The 19,875-nt window shown below is 40.0% G+C and overlaps 1 pseudogene, besides 1 other annotated feature; it reads right to left on the bottom strand.

Annotated features, from left to right (window-relative positions):
- Positions 9,865 to 10,570: an enhancer, noted in NCBI's record as "OCT4-NANOG-H3K4me1 hESC enhancer chr7:27069907-27070612 (GRCh37/hg19 assembly coordinates)". NCBI's record gives its function as "activates a minimal SCP1, AML or CMV promoter by ChIP-STARR-seq in naive H9 embryonic stem cells {active_cell/tissue: H9 hESC(naive)}" and the evidence as "EXISTENCE:reporter gene assay evidence [ECO:0000049][PMID:30033119]".
- TPM3P4 (tropomyosin 3 pseudogene 4) lies at positions 14,368 to 17,195 on the bottom strand (annotated as a pseudogene).

Raw genomic sequence — 19,875 nt, 5'->3', positions numbered from 1 at the left:
TTTGTAAATATTCCAAGAGAGAGGCAGCCTTACAAGCCACAGCATTTTAAGGTGGCAGATAATTGCAAAGAGATATACAATGCACACTAATGATAACGTTTAGTACTTAGGCAGTGCTTTAAGACCATTAACCAATTAATTCACATAGCACCCCATATGAAGCAGTAAGTAGTATTATTTCCACTTATATAGAAAATGTGTATATAGAAGCTGGCTTACTTTCCTGAGACATTAGAGCCAGTGAAATCTTGAAAACAAATTAAAATTCTCCTGTGTTCAAACTACTGAAATAGGCTCTGTTCATAATAGAAGTTTATTTGAGAGTCCTTGGAGAAAAGCTTTATTTTTAAGACTATATGTCTTGTATCCATTCATTTTCTTTATTTTGCAAAGCATTTTATTGAAATTCCCTTGTCCAAAAAAAAGAAATCCTTTATTAGCCAAATGTTTTGAATTAAATGACTTTTTATAGCAATCACAAGACATTATCCTCATAAGAACTCTGTGACAAACTTTACAGTTATAATAAAATGATACAGGGTTTCTATATTAGTTTGTATTACTTTAAGGATCAGCAGTTAATGTTATTATTTTACTCTTTTTTTTTCATTTTTTACCTGTTTATTTTACATGTGAGGTTGCTGGATGTTAATTTAAGCTGTGTTAACTTATAATTTTTTTTCACATTTTAATAATTTAACTTTATTTTTTATTGTGGCAAAATATGCATAACATTAAATTTACCATTTAACTATTTAAAATGTACAATTTAGTGTCATACACATTGTTTTGTAACCATTATCTCCAGAACTTTTTATTTTACCCTTATAACCAAATCTCACATACTGAAATATTGGAATTTTTCATATCAAAAGGATGCACAGTTCATTTATTACCTGTTTAATTTCTAAATTATCTGTATTAGAATGGTGATGAATTGTGTTAAACTATTTCTTTCTGCCTCTGCTTGTCTGATTCTCCTTGCAGTCATAGGAGAGATGGCTTGTTGGATGGAACAAGGTATGAAATTGTGACTAGAATAAGGCCAAAAGATCCTTTTGGGAATTGAGTCCTTGACCTCACTTCCTTGCACTAATAAACTGAGCTAATTAGCCACAGTGCCTGTTGCAGTATGGTACAACTTGGCAGTTGCTTTTCAATAAGTCAACTGTGTTGTGGTATCACTGGTTTAACAAACACTTCTTAAGCACTTACAATGTGCAGGCAATGGGCTAGATACTCAGTGTACAAAGGTAAAAGAAATACATTTCTTGGTCCGGCACGGTGGCTTACGCCTGTAATCGCAGCACTTTGGGAGGCTGAGGCAGGCGGATCACCTGAAGTCAGGAGTTCGAGACCAGCCTGACCAACATGGAGAAACCCTGCCTCTACTAAAAATACAAAACTAGCTGGGCGTGGTGGTGCATGCCTGTAATCCCAGCTACTTGGGAGGCTGAGGTAGGAGAATCGCTTGAATCCGGGAGGCAGACGTTACAGTGAGCCGAGATCACACCATTGCATTCCAGCCTGGACCAAAAGAGCAAAACTCCATCTCAATTAAAAAAGGGACATTTCCCGTCCTTGAAAGGACTAATGATCACCTATATGTAGCAAGTAAAATTCTGCATTTGTAAATCAAAATATATGCTTTCATATACTAACCACACTTTAGAAAGGTTTCAGTGAATATCCATAGACAAAATAGTCAAACCATTCTGTACAGATGAACTACCTTCTCAGCTCATCACTGTTTCTCTTATTGGTAAAACATAACATGTATGTGCCAAAGAAATGGTGCATTTTGGCATAATGGGAACTGGTATATTACAGTACATTTTGTTTCTTCTCAAAATAGCATCACTAGCAGCTCTTATCCTTGACCTGATTTGGGCACTTGATAAGGCATTTGGGTCAGTTAGATGTGAGTGAACAAATTCAATACAAAGACATAGTCATAAAATTAACTTGGGAAAGAGCAATGACATAGTCAAATAAGGCAGTTTTTTTATTCAAGTTCTCTAAAAGGAAGATTTGGGTTTGGAAAAAATTTAAAAGTTAGATTTTTTTCTCCTTGGTAAAGACTATTTGCTATGTAAATTAAATCAATATAGATATTACTAGAAAGAGAATGGGAATTGCAAACTCCGGTAAGAGATGTGTTTTAAAAAGTGCATGAAAATTACCAGAAAATGAAAAACAAGTATTTTAATTTTATATTTAAGGTAACACAAAATCATTCACATTTAGAAACATGACTTTATGGAATGAGATTTTCTGACAAGTAGTAGACATTTTCTTTTCTTCCTCTTCTTTTTTTTTTTTGACAGGGTCTTGCTCTGTTACCCAGGCTGGAGTGCAGTGGCACGATCTCAGCTCACTGCAGCCTCTACCTTTTGGGCTCAAACAGTCCTTCCACCTCAGCCTCTTCAGTAACTGAGACTACAGTCACCTGCCACTATGCTTTGCTACTTTTTAAATTGTTTCTTGTAGAGATGAAGTCTCACTATATTGCCCAGGCTGGTCTCAAACTCCTGGGCTCAAGCGATCCACCTGTCTTGGCGTCCCAAAGTGCTGGGATTACAGGGGTGAGTCACCATGCCCCACCCCTCTTCTTTTTGTAAAAAAAATTTCCCCCAGTATGGAAACGTTAAGTACCATTAAGTACATTTGAAAAACTTGTGAACCTTGACATTTGATGATGATCTAGAAAAATGCTTAGGCTTGTTGAACACATGGGCAAATATGATTCTTTCAAACAGAGCAAGTTTACTTAAGAAGGTTAATGTTCAGAAGTGAGTGAAAGAAAAGGTAGCTTTGGATTCTGAAATACTCTTAAAGATAACATTAGCATTTATGACACACCTATAGAGACAGAAGACAGGTTCTTACAGTGAGTGAGAATATATTTGAGTAATAAAAAGGAAAGGAGTGACATTTTTACTCACTGGTTAAAATTATTGAAATTATTTTTAAGTTAGGACCAAAGAAATCTGGTTTAAATTAAATTACATTAAATTATTTATTTTTGATACAGAGTCTCACTCTATCGCCCAGGCTGGAGTGCAGAGGCACCATCTCTGCTCACTGCAACCTCTGCCTCCTGGGTTCAAGTGATTCTCGTGCCTCAGCTTCCCAAGTAACTGGGATTACAGGCGTGCACCACCACACCCAGCTAATTTTTGTATTTTAGTAGAGACGGGGTTTCACCATGTTGGCCAGGCTGGTCTCAAACTCCTGACCTCAAGTGATCCACCCACCTCAGCCTCCCAAAGTGCTGGGATTACAGGTGTGAGCCACCGTGCCTGGCCTAAATTTTATTTTTGTTGTCTAACAAGTACTGCCTGAAGTACAACATAGTCTGATTTAGTTAGTTTATTTTTATTTAAGAAAATGAGCTATCCTAGAGCCTATATAATAGTGAAGTGATGCAATCCAAAGATACAATATTCATAGCTCTTAAATTCATGTATTTATATAGCTTTTTAATTACTGTTGAAAGTTTATCTTTCTTTTTATTATTTGTTTATTTATTTTGTCTTTTTTTGAGGTGGAGTCTCACTCTGTCGCCCAGGCTGGAGTGCAGTGGCACAATCTCAGCTCACTGCAGCCTCCATCTCCCGAGTTCAAGATATTCTCCTGCCTCAGCCTCCTGAGTAGCTGGGAATACAGGTGCGCTGCCACACCTGGCTAATTTTTGTATTTTTAGTAGAGATGGGGTTTTACCATGTTGGCCAGTCTGGTCTCGAACTCCTGACCTCAGATGATCCATCTGCCTCGGCCTCCCAAACTGTTGGGATTACAGGCGTGAGCCACCATGCCCAACCTTATTATTATTATTATTATTATTATTATTATTATTATTATTATTATTTTGAGATGGAGTTTCACTCTTGTTGTCCAAGCAGGAGTGCAATGGCGCGATCTTGGTTCACTGCGACCTCTGCCTCCCTCCCGGGTTCAAGTGATTCTCCTGCCTCAGCCTCCCTAGTAGCTGGGATTACAGGTGCCTGCCATCATGCCTGGCTAATTTTTTTGTATTTTTTTTAGTAGAAATGGGGTTTCACCATGTAAGCCAGGCTGGTCTCGAATCCACCTGCCTCGGCCTCCCAAAGGGCTGGGATTACAGGTATGTGTCACCGCACCCAGCCCTATTTTTTTTTTTTTTCTTGAGATTGAGTCTAGCTCTGTCACCCAGGCTGGAGTGCAGTGGCGTGATTTGGCTCACTGCAACCTCCGCCTCCCGGATTCAAGTAATTCTCCTGCCTCAGCCTCCCAAGTAGCTGGGATTACAGGTGCCCGCCACCATGCCCAGCTAATTTTTGTATTTTTAGTAGAGACGGGTTTTCACTGTGTTGGCCAGGCTGGTCTGGAACTCCTGACCTCATGATCCGCCCTCCTTGCCCTCTCAAAGTGCTGGGATTACAAGCGTGAGTCACCATGCCTGCCCCCTGGTCCTATTTTAAATTTTTTTAAGAGACAAGGTCTCACTCTGTCACCCAGGCCTCAGTGCAGTGGCATAATCATAGCTTGCTGCAGTCTCAAACTCCTGGGTTCAGGCAATCCTCTTGACTCAAGCCTCCGGAGTAGCTGGGACTATAGGCACACACCACCATACCCAGCTAATTAAAAAAAAATTTTGTAGAGACAGGGTCTTGCTGTGTTGCCCAGGCTAGTCTTGAACACCTGACCTCAAGCAATCCTCCTGCCTTGGCCTCCCAAAGTGTTGGGATTACAGGTGTGAGCCACTATGCCTGGAGTCTTTTTATTTTCAAGGTAATGTGTACTTAACAACATTTGGAAAACATAAAATAATATAGAAAAGAAACTACTCATTCTCTTACCTTGGAATAACTTTTATTAGCATTTTAGTGTACTTGCAATCATTTTTTTTTTGGTGAATTGATGTTTCTTTTTTATATATTGTCAAGATAGATGTACAATTTCGATGCTACATTTTTTCTTTTAACACTTCATCTTAAACATTCCTCATTTCTGTAATTATATCATCTCTTAAAATAATGTTTATAATTTAAAAATTATTGTATAATGTTTCATCAAGTCAATATGCAGTAATTTACTTAGCCATTCCCCTTTGTTGGATGTTTAAATTATTTCACATTCATTATTATTAGATGTAATATCTGAACATTGTTGTGCTTAAAATTTTTCCATGTTTACATTTTTTTCCTTAGGATTAAAAACTGGAAGTATAATTAGTGAATAAGAAAAAATAAGACCAGGTGCAGTGTGGCTCATGCCTTTAATCCCAGCACTTTGGGAGGCCTAGGCAGGAGGATCACTTGAGCCCAGGAGTTCAAGACCAGCCTGGGAAACATAGTGAGACCCCATCTCTACAAAAAAATTAAAAAAAAGCCAGGCATGATGGTGCATGCTTATACGCCTAGCTACTCAGGAGGCTGAGGTGGGAGGATTGCTTGAACCCGGGAGTTTGAAGCTGCAGTGAGCTATTATCATACCACTGTACTCCAGCCTGGGTGATAGAGTGAGACCCTGTCTTTTTTTTTTTTTTTTTTTTTGAGACAGAGTCTTGCTCTGTTGCCAGCCTGGAGTGCAGTGGCACGATCTCAGTTCACTGCAACCTCGGCCTCCTGGGTTCAAGCAGTTCTCCTGTCTCAGCCTCCTGAGTAGCTGGGATTACAGGCATGCACCACCACGCCTGGGTGATTTTTGTATTTTTAGTAGAGACAGGGTTTTGCCATGTTGGTCAGGCTGGTCTCAAACTCCTGACCTCAGGAGATCCACCTGCCTCGGCCTCCCAAAGTGCTAGGATTATAGGCGTGAGCCACTGTGTCCGGCTGACCATGTCTCTTAGAAAAAAAGAAAAAAGAAAAAGATTTAAGGCTTTTGATAAACATTGCCAAATTGCTTGCCAAAGAATGTGCTATGGTCTGAATGTTTTTGTTCCCTCACCAAATTCGTATGTTGAAACCTAATCTCCAATGCAATAATATTAAATAGTGGGGCTTTGGGGAGGTGATTAGGTCATGAGGACTCTGCCCTCATGAATAGGATTGGTGCTTTTATAAAAGAGGCTTGAGGGAGCCTTTTTGCTCTTCCACTATGTGAGGACTTAGCAAGAAGACACATCTGTGAAGCAAAAAGCCATCACCAGACACTGAATCTGTCGGCATTTTGATCTTGGACTTCCCAGCTTCTAGAACTATGAGAAATAAATTTCTTTGTATATTACCCAGTCTAAGGTATTTTTAAAAATAATAGACTGAATGGACTAAGACAAATGTGCAGTAGTTTTCAAAAACGCTTTTACATATGTTATCTGATTTGATGGCATAACAAACTCTACTTAGGCAGGGCAGATATTATTAGGCTCACTTGCTAGATGAGGAAATTGAGGTACATAAAGTATGAATGTATTAAGCAGGCTTATTCACCTGACGCTTAACAGAATTTGAACTAGGCATTGTGTGAAATGCAAAATGAATAAACTCAAAGTCGAGTTGACGAGATAGATATAGACACCAGTAAGTATAAAACAAGATGGCCTAAGAGAAGGTACAGAAGAGGTAAGAAGGACAATGAATTAGTGCCCAGATTTCTCTGGGTGCTGAGATCTCTTTCAGCCAGGGCCATGTGAAAACACTCTGGGGTGGCAGATGAGGGTAAGGAGGCATATGGAAGAGGGGGTGCTTCTGAGTTGGGCTGTACAAAACTGAAAAGGATTTCCATAAGGCCTGGTATAGAGATAAGGGAGCAGTGGAGGGGTATAGCAGGTTATTGCAGATAGTGCAAGCAAATGGATGTGGGGAGAATAAAAGAGGATATATATATTTTTTTATTTTTATTTTATTTTTATTTTTGAGACGGAGTCTTGCTCTGTCGCCTAGGCTAGAGTGCAGTGGTGCCATCTCGGATCACTGCAACCTCTGCCTCCCATGTTCAAGAGATTCTCCTGCCTCAGCTTCCCGAGTAGCTAAGATTACAGGCGCCTGACACCACATCTGGCTAATTTTTGTATTTTTAGTAGAGATGGGGTTTCATCATCTTGGCCAGGCTGGTCTTGAACTCCTGACCTTGTGATCCACCTCCCTCGGCCTCCCAAAATGCTGGGATTACAGGCGTGAGCCACCAAACCCGGCCAAAGAGGTAATATTTTAAAAATAATTTTTAGTTAAACAAACAACCACTTTTGTGTTTTAGAAATACACTTATTTTTGGCTGGGCGCGGTGGCTCACCCATGTAATCCCAGCACTTTGGGAGGCCGAGACGGGTGGATCATGAGGTCAGGAGTTCAAGACCAGCCTGGCCAAAATGGTGAAACCCCGACTCTACTAAAAATACAAAAATTAGCTGGGTGTGCTGGCAGGTGCCTGTAATCCCAGCTACTCTGGAGGCTGAGGCAGAGACTTGCTTGAACCCGGGAGGCGGAGGTTGCAGTAAGCCAAAATCATGCCATTGCACTCCAGCCTGGGCGAGAGAGTGAGATTCCGTCTCCAGAAAAAAAAAAGAAAAAAAGAAATACACTTATTTTCTTGGACTGTGGTAGAAGGATTTTGCTAAAAATATTGTTTCATCCTATCCTGTTACTGGCTTTCAGTAAATCACAAAGTGTTCACTTGTAATACTTTTCTTTAAAAATAAACATCCCAGGATTGTTTTCATCCTTTTTATTAATTAACCCCTAAGCATGGTGCTAAAATACTGGGCTTGTTTTTTTTGTACTGCATGACCAAACTCCTATATTTTGAACCACTTAAACACTTCTCATGAGAGCCAGACATCCCTAGTAGTGTGTGCTCACAATAGCTAATGGCTTAACAAGCACTGTCAGGCAGCCTCACATTTCAGCTGCTCGTTTTGCTGAAGGCAGATAATTTATGCTACATCCCACAGCACAGACCAAGTACATAAAACCAGAGAGGAATGTTAATGGAAAAAATTACAAATTCTTAAAGTGACAGGGCTTTTATAGTTAACTCTTTTAATCAGTTTGCAGTGTTATCAGGTTATGTGAAAGTTTGAATGAAATATGGAAAATGATAAATGAAAGAAGTTTGTAAAAGGCAACAAATACAGTATATTTGATTTAAAACATAGGGCAGTGTTTGGCACATAGTAGGCATTCAGAAATGTTTTTTGAATGAATAAGTGAGTGGGTGTATTTTTAATTTCTGATGTACTTAATATACATTTTATTTTGTTACTACTAAATTTTACTGAACTGGCAAACTTTTTAAATATGTGGAATGAATTGTAAGACTGATAAATCTTTAAGCAAATGTAGTTTAATTTTTGCTAGAATTTTTTGAGACATTTGCCTTATTTTATGGCTATGACTTAATTATAAATATGGGCAGAATATTAATCATAGCTGTCAGACAATTCAGATTTTTCAATTACCTCAGATAAATTTTCTGCTTAGTTTAGTTAGAGCACAATAGTAAGAGCAAGATTGTAGGGTGGACCAATCTAAAAGTGTTATGATACCCTGGGTAAATTAGTTCTTCCTAGGAAAGACTGACACATTTTCTTCAAATAGAAAAGTTACTTCTGGTAAGAGCAAGAACTGATTCTCAAAAAACACTATATTTTACTTTCTCTGTTCAGAGAGTTAGGCTTTCAATTTGGTTAACAAATAGCCCTCTGATTTTTTTTTTGTAATAAAGGAAACAGTACCTACTAATTATTAAGTACTTTTCATTGGTAGTGACTGTACTAAGGCCTGTACTGAGACAGGCATTGCCTCATTTATTTTTATCCTTACTCCAACATTATGAGGTATATACTATTATCATCCTCATTTTACAAATGTGGAACAGAGGCATAAAGCCAAGGGCACAGAGCTATTAATAGATGGAGCTGGAATCCAAATAGAGCTCTGATTCTAGTATTTAGTGACTGAGTATTTAGTCATTGTCTTTCTACGTGTATGTTTAACTTATCTAAAATAGTTCATAAGGTTTCATTTGAAACTTATCTCACTTGCCAGTGAATGTGCTACTGTTTGATGCTACAGAAACATTTTCACTTTCTTTCACTTTTAACTTCCTGTTCTCTAGGCCTTAGGAACTAGGTAACCTAATAAACTTGCCTTTTGAAACAATACTGAAATAGCCAGCATTTATTGGCTGCTCACTTTGTACCAGGCACTTCCTAATTGTTTTACAAGCATCTTATTCATTACAACATTCTTCTACTATTCGCCCCTATTTTACAGATCAAAAAATGAAGCTTAGTCAGGTTAAGCAACTTTGCTACCAAAGTTAGGAAATGTTGCTACTAAAGTTAAGCAATTTAGCAAAATTAAGCAACCCTAAATCACATAGGTTAAGTAAGTAAGTAGTGGATTTGGGATTTGAACTCAGGTTGTTTGACTGACAGTTGGCTTACTTAACCACCCTGTTCTACTGCCCTTTTTTTTTTTTTTTTTGAGATGGAGTCTCACTCTGTCGCCTGGGCTGGAGTGCAGTGGCGCGACCTCAGCTCACTGCAACCTCCACCTTCTGGGTTCAAGCGATTCTCCTGCCTCAGCTGCCGAGTAGATGGGATTACAGGCGCCCACCACCATACCCAGCTAATTTTTGTGTATTTTTAGTAGAGGCGGGGTTTCACCATGTTGGCTAGGCTGGTTTTGAACTCCTGACCTCAGGTGATCCGCCCTCCTTGGCCTCCCAAAGTGCTAGGGTTACAGGCGTGAGCCACTGCGCCCGGCCTTCTACTGCCTTCTTAAATTAAGTAGTGGGCCTGTCTCTGAGCAGATTCAGACACCACTTCCCCTCCCTTGTAAAGCACGCCTCTCACTGACATTCCCAGTCCACCAAGTGAGAAGCCTGCAAAACTCAGACTCCCATAGAACATTGCTCTGAGACCTATCAGGCCTGCACATGTTGGAATGTTCCGTATAGATTTTGTGATTCCTCATGGTTAGAACATTGACAGCCTTCAAGATTCCCCTAAGGGAGGACAAACTTTTTTCTGACATGTGAGCCACTCTCTGGTTACAGATGGAGGGCGTGGACTGCATCTGTCTTGGGGCTGCTTCTCTCTCTCACTTACCAGCTGAAATGCCCCAAACACTTGCCTGCTTATTTTTGTTCTTGCACTGTTTCCCACAGTTTTTTTTTTTCCTTACGGCGAAGCACAGATCTTTCTGTTTCATGTGGCACCAGCTGTCTGGTTTGCTCCCTCTGTACCTGTTACCACCAGCTGGAGCAAATGGGAAAGAATACATTTGGTAGAATGGGGCTGACCCATGAGGCCTACCTCTGTTAGCTCAGTGGGTACCCTCCACAGGGGAAACAGTGTGAGTTTTTGTAATGTTGCTACTCTCCCTGGGAGGTCTTTTAAGGGCTGAGTACCTAAAGATGTTTTTCTATCAGACTTTTTTTCCCTCCGCCCCCCGCCTAGGTTCCATCTTGCATTCCACTGCTAAATCAGATTAACACCAAAAAAACTAATACCCGATGGGATGTTACAGTTTACAACAGATTTTATATTCATTCTCTCATTTAACCCTTACAACCACCTGGTGGTAAGTATAATACATATATTTAGGTATGAGAAAACTGGCTTAGCTGGTGGTTGAGGTGGCTCATGCTTGTAATCCCAGCATTTTGGGAGGCTGAGGCAGAGGGATCACTTGAGCCCAGGAGTTTGAAAACAGCCTGGGCAACATAGGAGATCCTATCTCTATAAAAGAAAAAGAATTTAACAAAAAAGAAGAGAAAACTGGCATAGAGTAGTTAAGTAATTTGCCCAAGATCATGCAGCCCAATATACTTTTGCCAGGGAATCCCTGTTCCTTTCTGCTATCTGATACTATAGCAGCTTTTTCTCTTTTTTTTCTTTTCTTTTCTTTTCTTTTCTCTTCTCTTCTCTTTTCTTTTCTTGTTTTTTGAGACGGAGTCTCACCCTGTCACCCAGGCTGGAGTGCAGTGGCACTATCTCGGCTCACTGCAACCTCCTCCTCCCTGGTTCTAGCAATTCTCCTGTCTCAGCCTCCTGAGTAGCTGGGATTACAGGCCTGTGCCACCACACCCGGCTAAATTTTGTATTTTTAGTAGAGACGGGGTTTTACTTGTATTAGTCAGGCTGTCTCAAACTCCTGACCTCATGATCTGCCTGCCTCGGCCTCCCAAAATGCTGGGATTACAGGCATGAGCCACTGTGCCCGGCCTATAGTGGCTTTTAGGTAGCATGATTATCAAGTTGAGTGAAGCTCTTGAGAGGTGTTTTATACCATGTAGACTCTTTGTAGCAGAGAGCATTTAGAATTTGGAGGTCAGCACAAGTGGCCAAGCTGTGGCAGGTGTTCAATAAATTGTTGTCGAACTGAGCTGGTCAGATATTGTCACCAATTTAGCCTCAGGCAACCCTTTTAATCTCATTTGCCTTGTATTCTTTTACTGCCCTAATGGTCTCAAAAGGTTGTTGTAAGGATCAAATGAGATAACCTATATCACTATATAGAGTGATATAGAAATGTAAGGAATTATCTTTATGCCAATGCTTTAAATTCTGAATTTTTCTGGCAAACACCACACTTTCTATTTCCTTTATGAATATTTTTCTTTGAGATGATCTTGTCTCAAAAATGCTGTGGGAGTATTTTAGTGACCGATTGTATCCCTCTTTAAAAAAGAAAAGTAGAAGGAAAATGGAGAAAAAAAAAGAACAAGGGTTAATGGGAAGTGGAAAGGGTAAGTTTTAGGCCTTGGAGGCTGCACTTTTAAAGAAAGACAAACAGCAAAACAGTTGAAGAGCAAGTAAAAGAGCAAACATTTACAGAGTTCTTACTGTGAGCCAGGCGCTGTTCTACATGTTTTGGTGTATTAACTTGATTAATCCTCACAGTGACTTTATGAGGTAGATACTCTTCTTATCGCCACTGTACAGGTGAAGAAACAAAGCACGATGTGGTTAAATAATGTGTACAGGCCATACAGCACCTAAGTGTTAAAGCTGGAACTGAGGCTAGTCAGCATTGCACCAGGGCTCCAGTGCTTGCCTCTTCACCATGCTGCCTTTGTAATCTGGGATGTGAGAGAAGCAGCACATGGGATATCTTTTAGAAAACTGAAGAAAATGCTTAAGGAGAGAGCATTTGATCCTGCTGTAATGTTATTTGTCTTCAAAATACTTTTTGCTCACTGTTAAAACACAGATGAATCAGCAAAGCCATAAGATTGGTAGCTAATGTTTTTGTCTTTTAGCCTGTCCTTCAACCAGAACCAGTCCTAGCTGCTTTTACTGGTGATTTTCTAAATTTTATTTTTCAGTTTCCTGATAATTTATTCTTTCCCCCAAACTATAGTGCCAATAGCCTGAGTAAGAATGAGACTTTCTTACTTAGTGTAGTTCTTCTTTCTTTTAGCCTCCTTGCACTGAATGAAGCTATTATCTCTTTCTTTTTAAATTGAATATTTTGAATAGGCAATATAGTTCAAAAATAAAAAGAATAAGAAGGCATGTCATGAAAATTCTCCTTTCCACTCCTTTCATCATGCTTAGTTCCTAAACACCCCAACCCCAATAATCAGTATTCTTAGTTTGTATTCTATCTTTTCAGAGTTTCTTTTTTTTTTTCAAGACTGAGTCTTGCTCTGTCGCTCAGGCTGGAGTGCAGTGGCGCGATCTCGGCTCACTGCAAGCTCCGCCTCTCGGGTTCAAGCGATTCTCCTGCCACAACCTCTCGAGTAGCTGGGACTATAGGCGCCCGCCACCACAACTGTCTAATTTTTTGTATTTTTAGTAGAGACGGGATTTCACCGTGTTAGCCAGGATGGTCTCGATCTGCTAACCTCGTGATCTGTCCGCCTCGGCCTCCCAAAGTGCTGGGATTACAGGCATGAGCCACTGCTCCTGGCAAGTTTCTTTATGAATATAGAAGCAATTATGATTTTTTTTAAAATACAAAAGGTAATACTATTCTGCATCTTACTTTTTTAACTTATTGTATCTTGGAAATCTTTCCATATTACTACTTAGAGAGCATTTTCATTTTTTCCTTTCTCATTTTTTACAAGGTATAGTAATTCGTTTCGTGGAGTATACTTTATTGGACCAGTCCTTTATTGATGGACATTGGAGTTTTTTAGTCTTTTTAAAGCTACCACTTAAAATGCTTCAGTGAAGGGGCAGGAAAGGTAAAATTAAGACAAGAAGCAACATCTAGAAAATCTCCAGATACGAAGTTGTGATCTAGGAGGCAGGAATGAAGAAGTTCTGGCTCTGTCTTGTGATGGGGCACATCTGGAGTGCCAGAGGCTTGCATTTTGACTACACCTGTTCTAGTTGGAGAAAGAAGGAAAACAACTAGCATGGTGAAACCTCAACACACCTGAGCTTGGTTTACTGCAAAGTCTCGGGGTGAGGACAGATTGACAGCTGGTGTATGAGCTGCCCAAAGGTAAACTCTTGTAATAAAGAAATTGATGGCATGATAGATAGAAGTGAGATAAGTGCTATTAACCACAGGTAAACTTCTTTCAACAGACTGCTACCAATTCTCATATATAACTTGCAGTACAAAAAAATTAGTTCAACAACTCTATTCCTAAACCTTTAAGTAAGCTCTGACACCTTATCAAAGAGCAAAAGAGTAGATTTGTCTTTTTACCTTGGACACATGTCAAATAAAAAACCTCAGCAAAGGGTAAAGAGTTTAAAAAAGAAATTAAATACCTTAAACATGTGATGTTTAGTACTTTATTAAATGCTTCTTTTAATGACAGTATCAAGGAACAGTTTCATCTTAGGCATTCTAAGGTTAATAATCACATATGTAGGATTTTATGTCATAGTTTTGATATGGATTCATGGTTTCATACTGTTGATAAATAAGAAATAGCTTGTAAGCTATCACAGATCATCACTGTACTTTAAAAAATGGAATATAGCTGAAAAACGCAAATATATAATTTACACCAGTGTTACACAAATGTGATTTTAGGGATTGACAGTGAAATGTAAGTTTTTTTTGTTTTGTTTTGTTTTTTGAGATGAGTAGAGTCACACTCTGTTGCCAAGGCTGGAGTGCAGTGGCATCATTATGGCTCACTGTAGCCTCAATTTCCTTGTCTCAAGCGATCCTCCCATCTCAGCGTGCTAAGTAGCTAGGACCATAGTTGCATGCCACCACACCTAGCTAATTTTTTATTTTTTGTAGAAATGGGGTCTCCCTATGTTGCCCAGGCTGGTCTTGAGCTCCTGGGCTTAAGTGATGCTCTCATCTTGGCCTCCCAAAGTGCTGGGATTACAGGCAAGAGCCTCTGTGCTCAGCCTGATATTTTAAAATGTTAATGTTGCAAAAGATTTTCTGATCTGCGTGGTTAAGAAAGAAAACTTAATATTGCTTCTGATATTCAGCTATAAACTCAGGTGTTGTTTTGGAGGGACTGGTTTTTTATATCAGAAAGACAGTTATCAATATTCAGTATCAAAACAGTTGCACTATTGATTTCTCTTTCTCCCAATCGGCCCCAAAGAGACCACATCAAAGGAGAGTACATTTCAAGCCAATAAGCTGCAGGATGTACACCTAACAGACCTCATAGAAACCTTACCAGAAAATGGGGACTGGGTAGGGAAAGAAACTTTAAAAGATCAGCAAACTGCCAGCCCACGGACTGCAGAGGCTGTCACAGCCAGATGGGGGTGGCCAGGGTGCCACAAACCCAAGGAAGCAAAGTTTCAAAATAATACAAAATTTAAAAAAATTTTGTATATAAGGTATTCAAGGTTTCTCCAGCACTGACTGATACAAAGCACAATGAGATGGCACTTTTAGAGATAGCAACTTCAAACCCAGAAAAGGCTAATGAGATGAGTTTCACATGGCTAAATCAGTGGCGAAAACATAATCTTTCTTTCTTTCAAGAAGGTAGGAAAGCAATTAAGTAGTCACCTCAACCTAAGGGGCACGTGATCCATTCTGTAAGCAGTTGGGAGGACAAAAATTTGGTCTCAGAGGTCTTACCATCTTAATTTGGTCACTTCTAATGAAAAAAATTTGAAATAACGTTGTCCAAAGATATCTTTCTTTGTTTTTTTTGAGACAGAGTCTCACTCTGTCGCCCAGGCTGGAGTACAGTACATGATCTAGGCTCACTGAAACTTCCGCCTCCTGGGTTCAAGTGATTCTCCTGCCTCAGCCTCCTGAGTAGCTGGGATTACAGGCACACGCCACCACGCCTGGCTAATTTTTGTATTTTTAGTAGAGACGAGGTTTTACCACGTTGGTCCGGCTGGTCTCAAACTCCTGACCTCGTGATCCACCTGCCTTGGCCTCCCAAACTGGTGGGAATACAGGCGTGAGCCACGGCACCCAGCCAGGTTTTCAGCTTTAAAATATCTTTTTTGTTTTTTTTTTGTTGTTGTTTGGCTAACTCCTCCTGGAATCACCTTTCTGGTTTGGCTGGTATTTTGTACAGAGCAACGAGGTTTCTCATAGTGGAGTCTTTTCCTGGGCTCTGTTTGGCTCTCAGTAAGGCAGGCCTATACTTTTTCCTCTCCTCTATGGAGAGGGCAATATGCATTTAGCTGAAAAGTCACCTTCCGAAAGTGAGAAAGGGATTAGATTGCTGCTTCAGAGCTGTGGAATTATTTGGAATGTTTTGCAAATGGTTGCTACAAAACAACAAAAAAGGTAATTACAAAATGTGCGCATCGTAACATGCTTTTAAAGACACTTGCACATCATAACATGCTTTTAAAGACACTATGCATTGTGCTCACATTCCCTTAAATGTTGTTTCCAAAGGTGCTCAGCCTTTAGCCCAGCTGGAATCTCCAGGAAGAGGCAGAGACAGTTTGGCAAAAAAGAAACAGGGAAGGAGGGGGCTGCGAAAGTAGAAAGCAGCCCCCAAATTAAAGATCAGCCCTCAGTTAAAGATCAGCTTCAGGCAGGCCGGCCTCAGGTGGAGTCAGGGACAAAGGGAGGAGCAGCAGCAGGGTAGGACTGGGGTGTTCTACATCTCATTCAGGTCAAGCAGAGTCTGGTACAGCATCCTTTGTGTACAGAGGTTCTCCTCTTTGTTGCATTTCAGTTTATATTCCAAGTCATCAGTTGTCTTTTCCAGCTTGGCTACCAATCTCTCAGTAAACTCAGCACGGGTCTCTGCCTCCTTGAGTTTGTCAGTGAGAATCTTGATCTCTTCCTCATATATGTCTTCTTTTTGAGAGTATTTTTCTTCAGCATCACTTAGACACTTCAGGTTCTGGTCCATCAGTCTGATCTGCTCATCTGTCTCTTGGCAGCGGGACTCTGCCAGCTCAGCTCGTTCCTCTGTGCATTCCAAGTCTCCTTCAATGATCACCAACTTACGAGGCACCTCTTCATATTTCCTATCTGCCTCTTCTGCAATATGCTTAGCTTCTTTGAGTTGGATTTCCTGGAGTTCCATCTTTTTGTTTGTTTGTTTAAGACAGAGTCTCACTGTCTCGCCAGGCTGGAGTGCGGTGGCGCGATCTCAGCTCACTGCAACCTCCGCCTCCTGGGTTCAAGCGATTCTCCTGCCTCAGCCTCCCGAGTAGCTGGAACTACAGGCGTGTGCCATCACGCCCAGCTAATTTTTTGTATTTTTAGTAGAGACAGGGATTCACCGTGTTGGCCAGGATAGTCTCAAACTCTTGACCTCGTGATTCGCCTGGCTTGGCCTCCCAAAGTGCTGGGATTACAGGTTTGAACCACTGCGCTGGGCCCTTTTCTTCATCTTTTAAGGCCTGGTTTTATTTGTTTGTTTTGAGACGGAGTCTCACTTTGTTGCCCAGGCTGGAGTGCAGTGGCACGATCTCGGCTCACTGCAAGCTCCGCCTCCCGGGGGTCACGCCATTCCCGGGCCTCGGCAAGGCCTGGTTTTCAATAACCTTCATATCTCTTTCACTCTCATCAGCAGCTTTCTCCTCTTCTTCCAGCTTTTGCAGGGCAGTGGTCAGGCGCTCCTGAGCATGGTCCAGCTCCTCTTCAAACCTGCTGGATCCTACGATTCAAGGAGGCCACCTCAGCCTCCTTGTTCCCGGCCCACTTTTCTTCCTCAACTTCTCACTGGAGGCGCTCAGCTCTCTCCTCTGCATCATCTGCCTGCTGCTGCAGAACCTGGATCTTGCACTTCACTTCCTCCATGGTGGCGATCCCAGCCATGGTGCCGACCCAGCTACTGCTCCAGTTCTGGTTCCTGCCTCTTCTGCTCAGCATTGCAGCTGCTTCTCCTTTCTTTTATTTTTCTGTATTAAGTTTTGTTCCCTTTTGTTTTTAAAGCAACAGATGAAAGGAGATAAAAATGTCAAGGAAATACTGACTTGAACTTTATAAATATTGGTTCTGATTGGGGATGATAAAGCAGGTAAAAGAAAGGAGCTGAAGTATGACTGAAGGAATCAGATTTCTCTAACCTTGATATTCAAATTGTATTCTATAGATATGATTATAAATAGCAAGATTCTTTAGCATTTGGAGTTAATTAAATTGTGAGGAAGTTATCAGGGCACATTTTGTGTTCTTCATTACTCTGAGAAACTTTTCTGAGGTTCATTGAGAAAAATATTTTTAAACTCTGTGAAATCCAAGTAACTCTGGAGGAAAAGCAAATTGAGCAATTTGTTCTTTCCTCTTTGAGGTTTGATAAGGTGTAAAAATGTATTTAACAAAACAACTTCTTTTTCCTTAAAAATTTTGATCAATAACCCTGAAAAAGTTTTTTTTAATTCAATTCAGTATGTTAATTTTATGCTTTCCATAAATACATTTTTTGAATATTTAAGGTAACAGTTTCAGAAACATAACTGAATAGCTTGCTTGTTCTTGAACAAAGAGTTTGAATCTATGATGAACTAAATTAAGTTATGTCTTCCCAAGTAGTCCACTTAGACACTGACTTGTTACCCTCTTTCTCAAGTCCAGTTTTTCTGAGACTGGACCAGTTACATTAGGATCACCTTGGGTCTTTAGGTGTGATTATTGTATTGTGATAATGCTAAAAATATTCATTCTTTTTAGAGATACAAACTGAAGTGTTAGTGGATAAAATGTCAAGATATTTGGGATTATTTTAAAAAGAAATTAGGATGAAGGGTAAATGAGTGGCAATGTAGATGAAACAAGACTGGCCATATGTTTATTTATGGAAGGTGAGTGAGGAGTATGCGGGTGATGTTATAGTATTCTCTCTAATTTAGTTTAGGTTTAAAATTTCTATTGCAAATAGTTAAAAGAATCATTTGTGGTCTTGTTAAAAATTCAGATTCCTGGACTCCACCACAGATCTTTTAAGTCAGAGTCTCAAGGATGAAAGATAGAAAATGGCTTTTAAAGTAGTCCACTTGTGCTCACTGAAGTTTGAGGATCACTGGTAAAAAGTTTCCTTATGTACCTCACTCATTGTGTATCCATGTCATCCGTGTGTATTTAGTGTTTTTCATCATTCACCCTATTTTCCCATTTGCGGAATGCAATAGCAAGTTAAAGCAATTATACTGAATTTGGATAATTCAAACTTTAAAATTTTGTTTCAAAGCATTCATAAAGTGAAGCCAAATAAAATTTAAAAAACCTTTATTTTTAACTGAAATAATCAAATAAATACGTTGGCTTTTTTTTCCACTTTCAGCTGGGAATGGATTACTTTTGTGAATGTCTTAAATTTCTTCTCTTACCAGGGCATCAGCATCCTATTCCAGACATCTACTTGCTTTCACCAGTAGTTCCTTGTTCTTTCTCAGATGTACCATATTACCAGGCACCTCTGAGACTTTGCTTATGGGATTCCCTCTAATTGAGACATTCATCAATCCCCTCTTTACCTGGTTAATTTCTATACCTTCTCCCCACCGCTAACACCTCTCACTTATTCAGGGAGGCCATTATTGTATTTGCAAGGTTGGATTGCATTCTATTCTTTTGTGGTTCCATAATATGCTGTAATACAATAGTGCTATAATGCTGAACATGCTATATAGCACTTTACACTTTGTCATAAGACTCTATTTTTCTGCCCTCCTCTCTCTCTTCAGCTAGACTATAAAGTCAGTTGGTTAAAGATTGTGTGTTTTATGATCGTATCTCCACTGCTGTGTACTGTGCCTGGCACATAGGAAATACTTACTGAATACATGACGAACAGCTGAATGAGTTCACAAAGTAGCTATCTAACATGCCCAAGCATCTTAGGAAGTGTTGCAGTCATTCTTTACGGCAAAAAAGAAAGAAAGAAAGAAAAAAAAGCTTCCTGGATATAAGACACACTTCTTGGTCATAAATATAGATCTTGGAAAAAAGTTCCTGAAAGGAGGACTAAACTGTAGCAAGAATTTGTCTTGGGTATAATAATGTTGATAATCACTTTGCTTCTATGCTTAGCCTTTTTCATATATCTTTATTAATTTCTCATAATTAAATTATATCTCTTGACCCGACTTTTTTCGAATATTTTATTGTGAAAAATTTCAAATGTCCAAAAGAGTCCAAAGAATTGTGTAGACTGGGCACAGTGGTTCACATTTGTAATCTCAGCACTTTGGGAGGCTGAGGCAGGCAGATCACTTGAGGCCAAGAGTTTGAAACCAGCCTGGCCAACATAGCTGTATTAGTCTGCTTTAACACTGCTGATAAAGACATACCTGGGACTGGGCAGTTTACAAAAGAAAGAGGTGTAATGGACTCACAGTTCCATGTGGCTGGGGAGGCCTCACAATCATGGCAGAAGGTGAAAGGCACGTCTCACATGGCAGCAGACAAGAGAAGAGAATGACAGCCAAGTGAAAGGGGTTTCCTCTTATAAAACCATCAGCTCTTGTGAGACTTATTTACTACCACGAGAACAGTATGGGGGAAACCACCCCCATGATTCAGTTATCTCCCACTGGGTCTGTCCCACTATACGAGAGAATTATGGGAGCTA

This window comes from Homo sapiens, chromosome 7 (genome assembly GCF_000001405.40).
Source record: "Homo sapiens chromosome 7, GRCh38.p14 Primary Assembly".
NCBI classification, from domain to species: domain Eukaryota; kingdom Metazoa; phylum Chordata; class Mammalia; order Primates; family Hominidae; genus Homo; species Homo sapiens.
The sequence above is the reverse complement of the archived record's forward strand: the minus strand, read 5'-3'. Positions and strand labels throughout refer to the sequence as shown.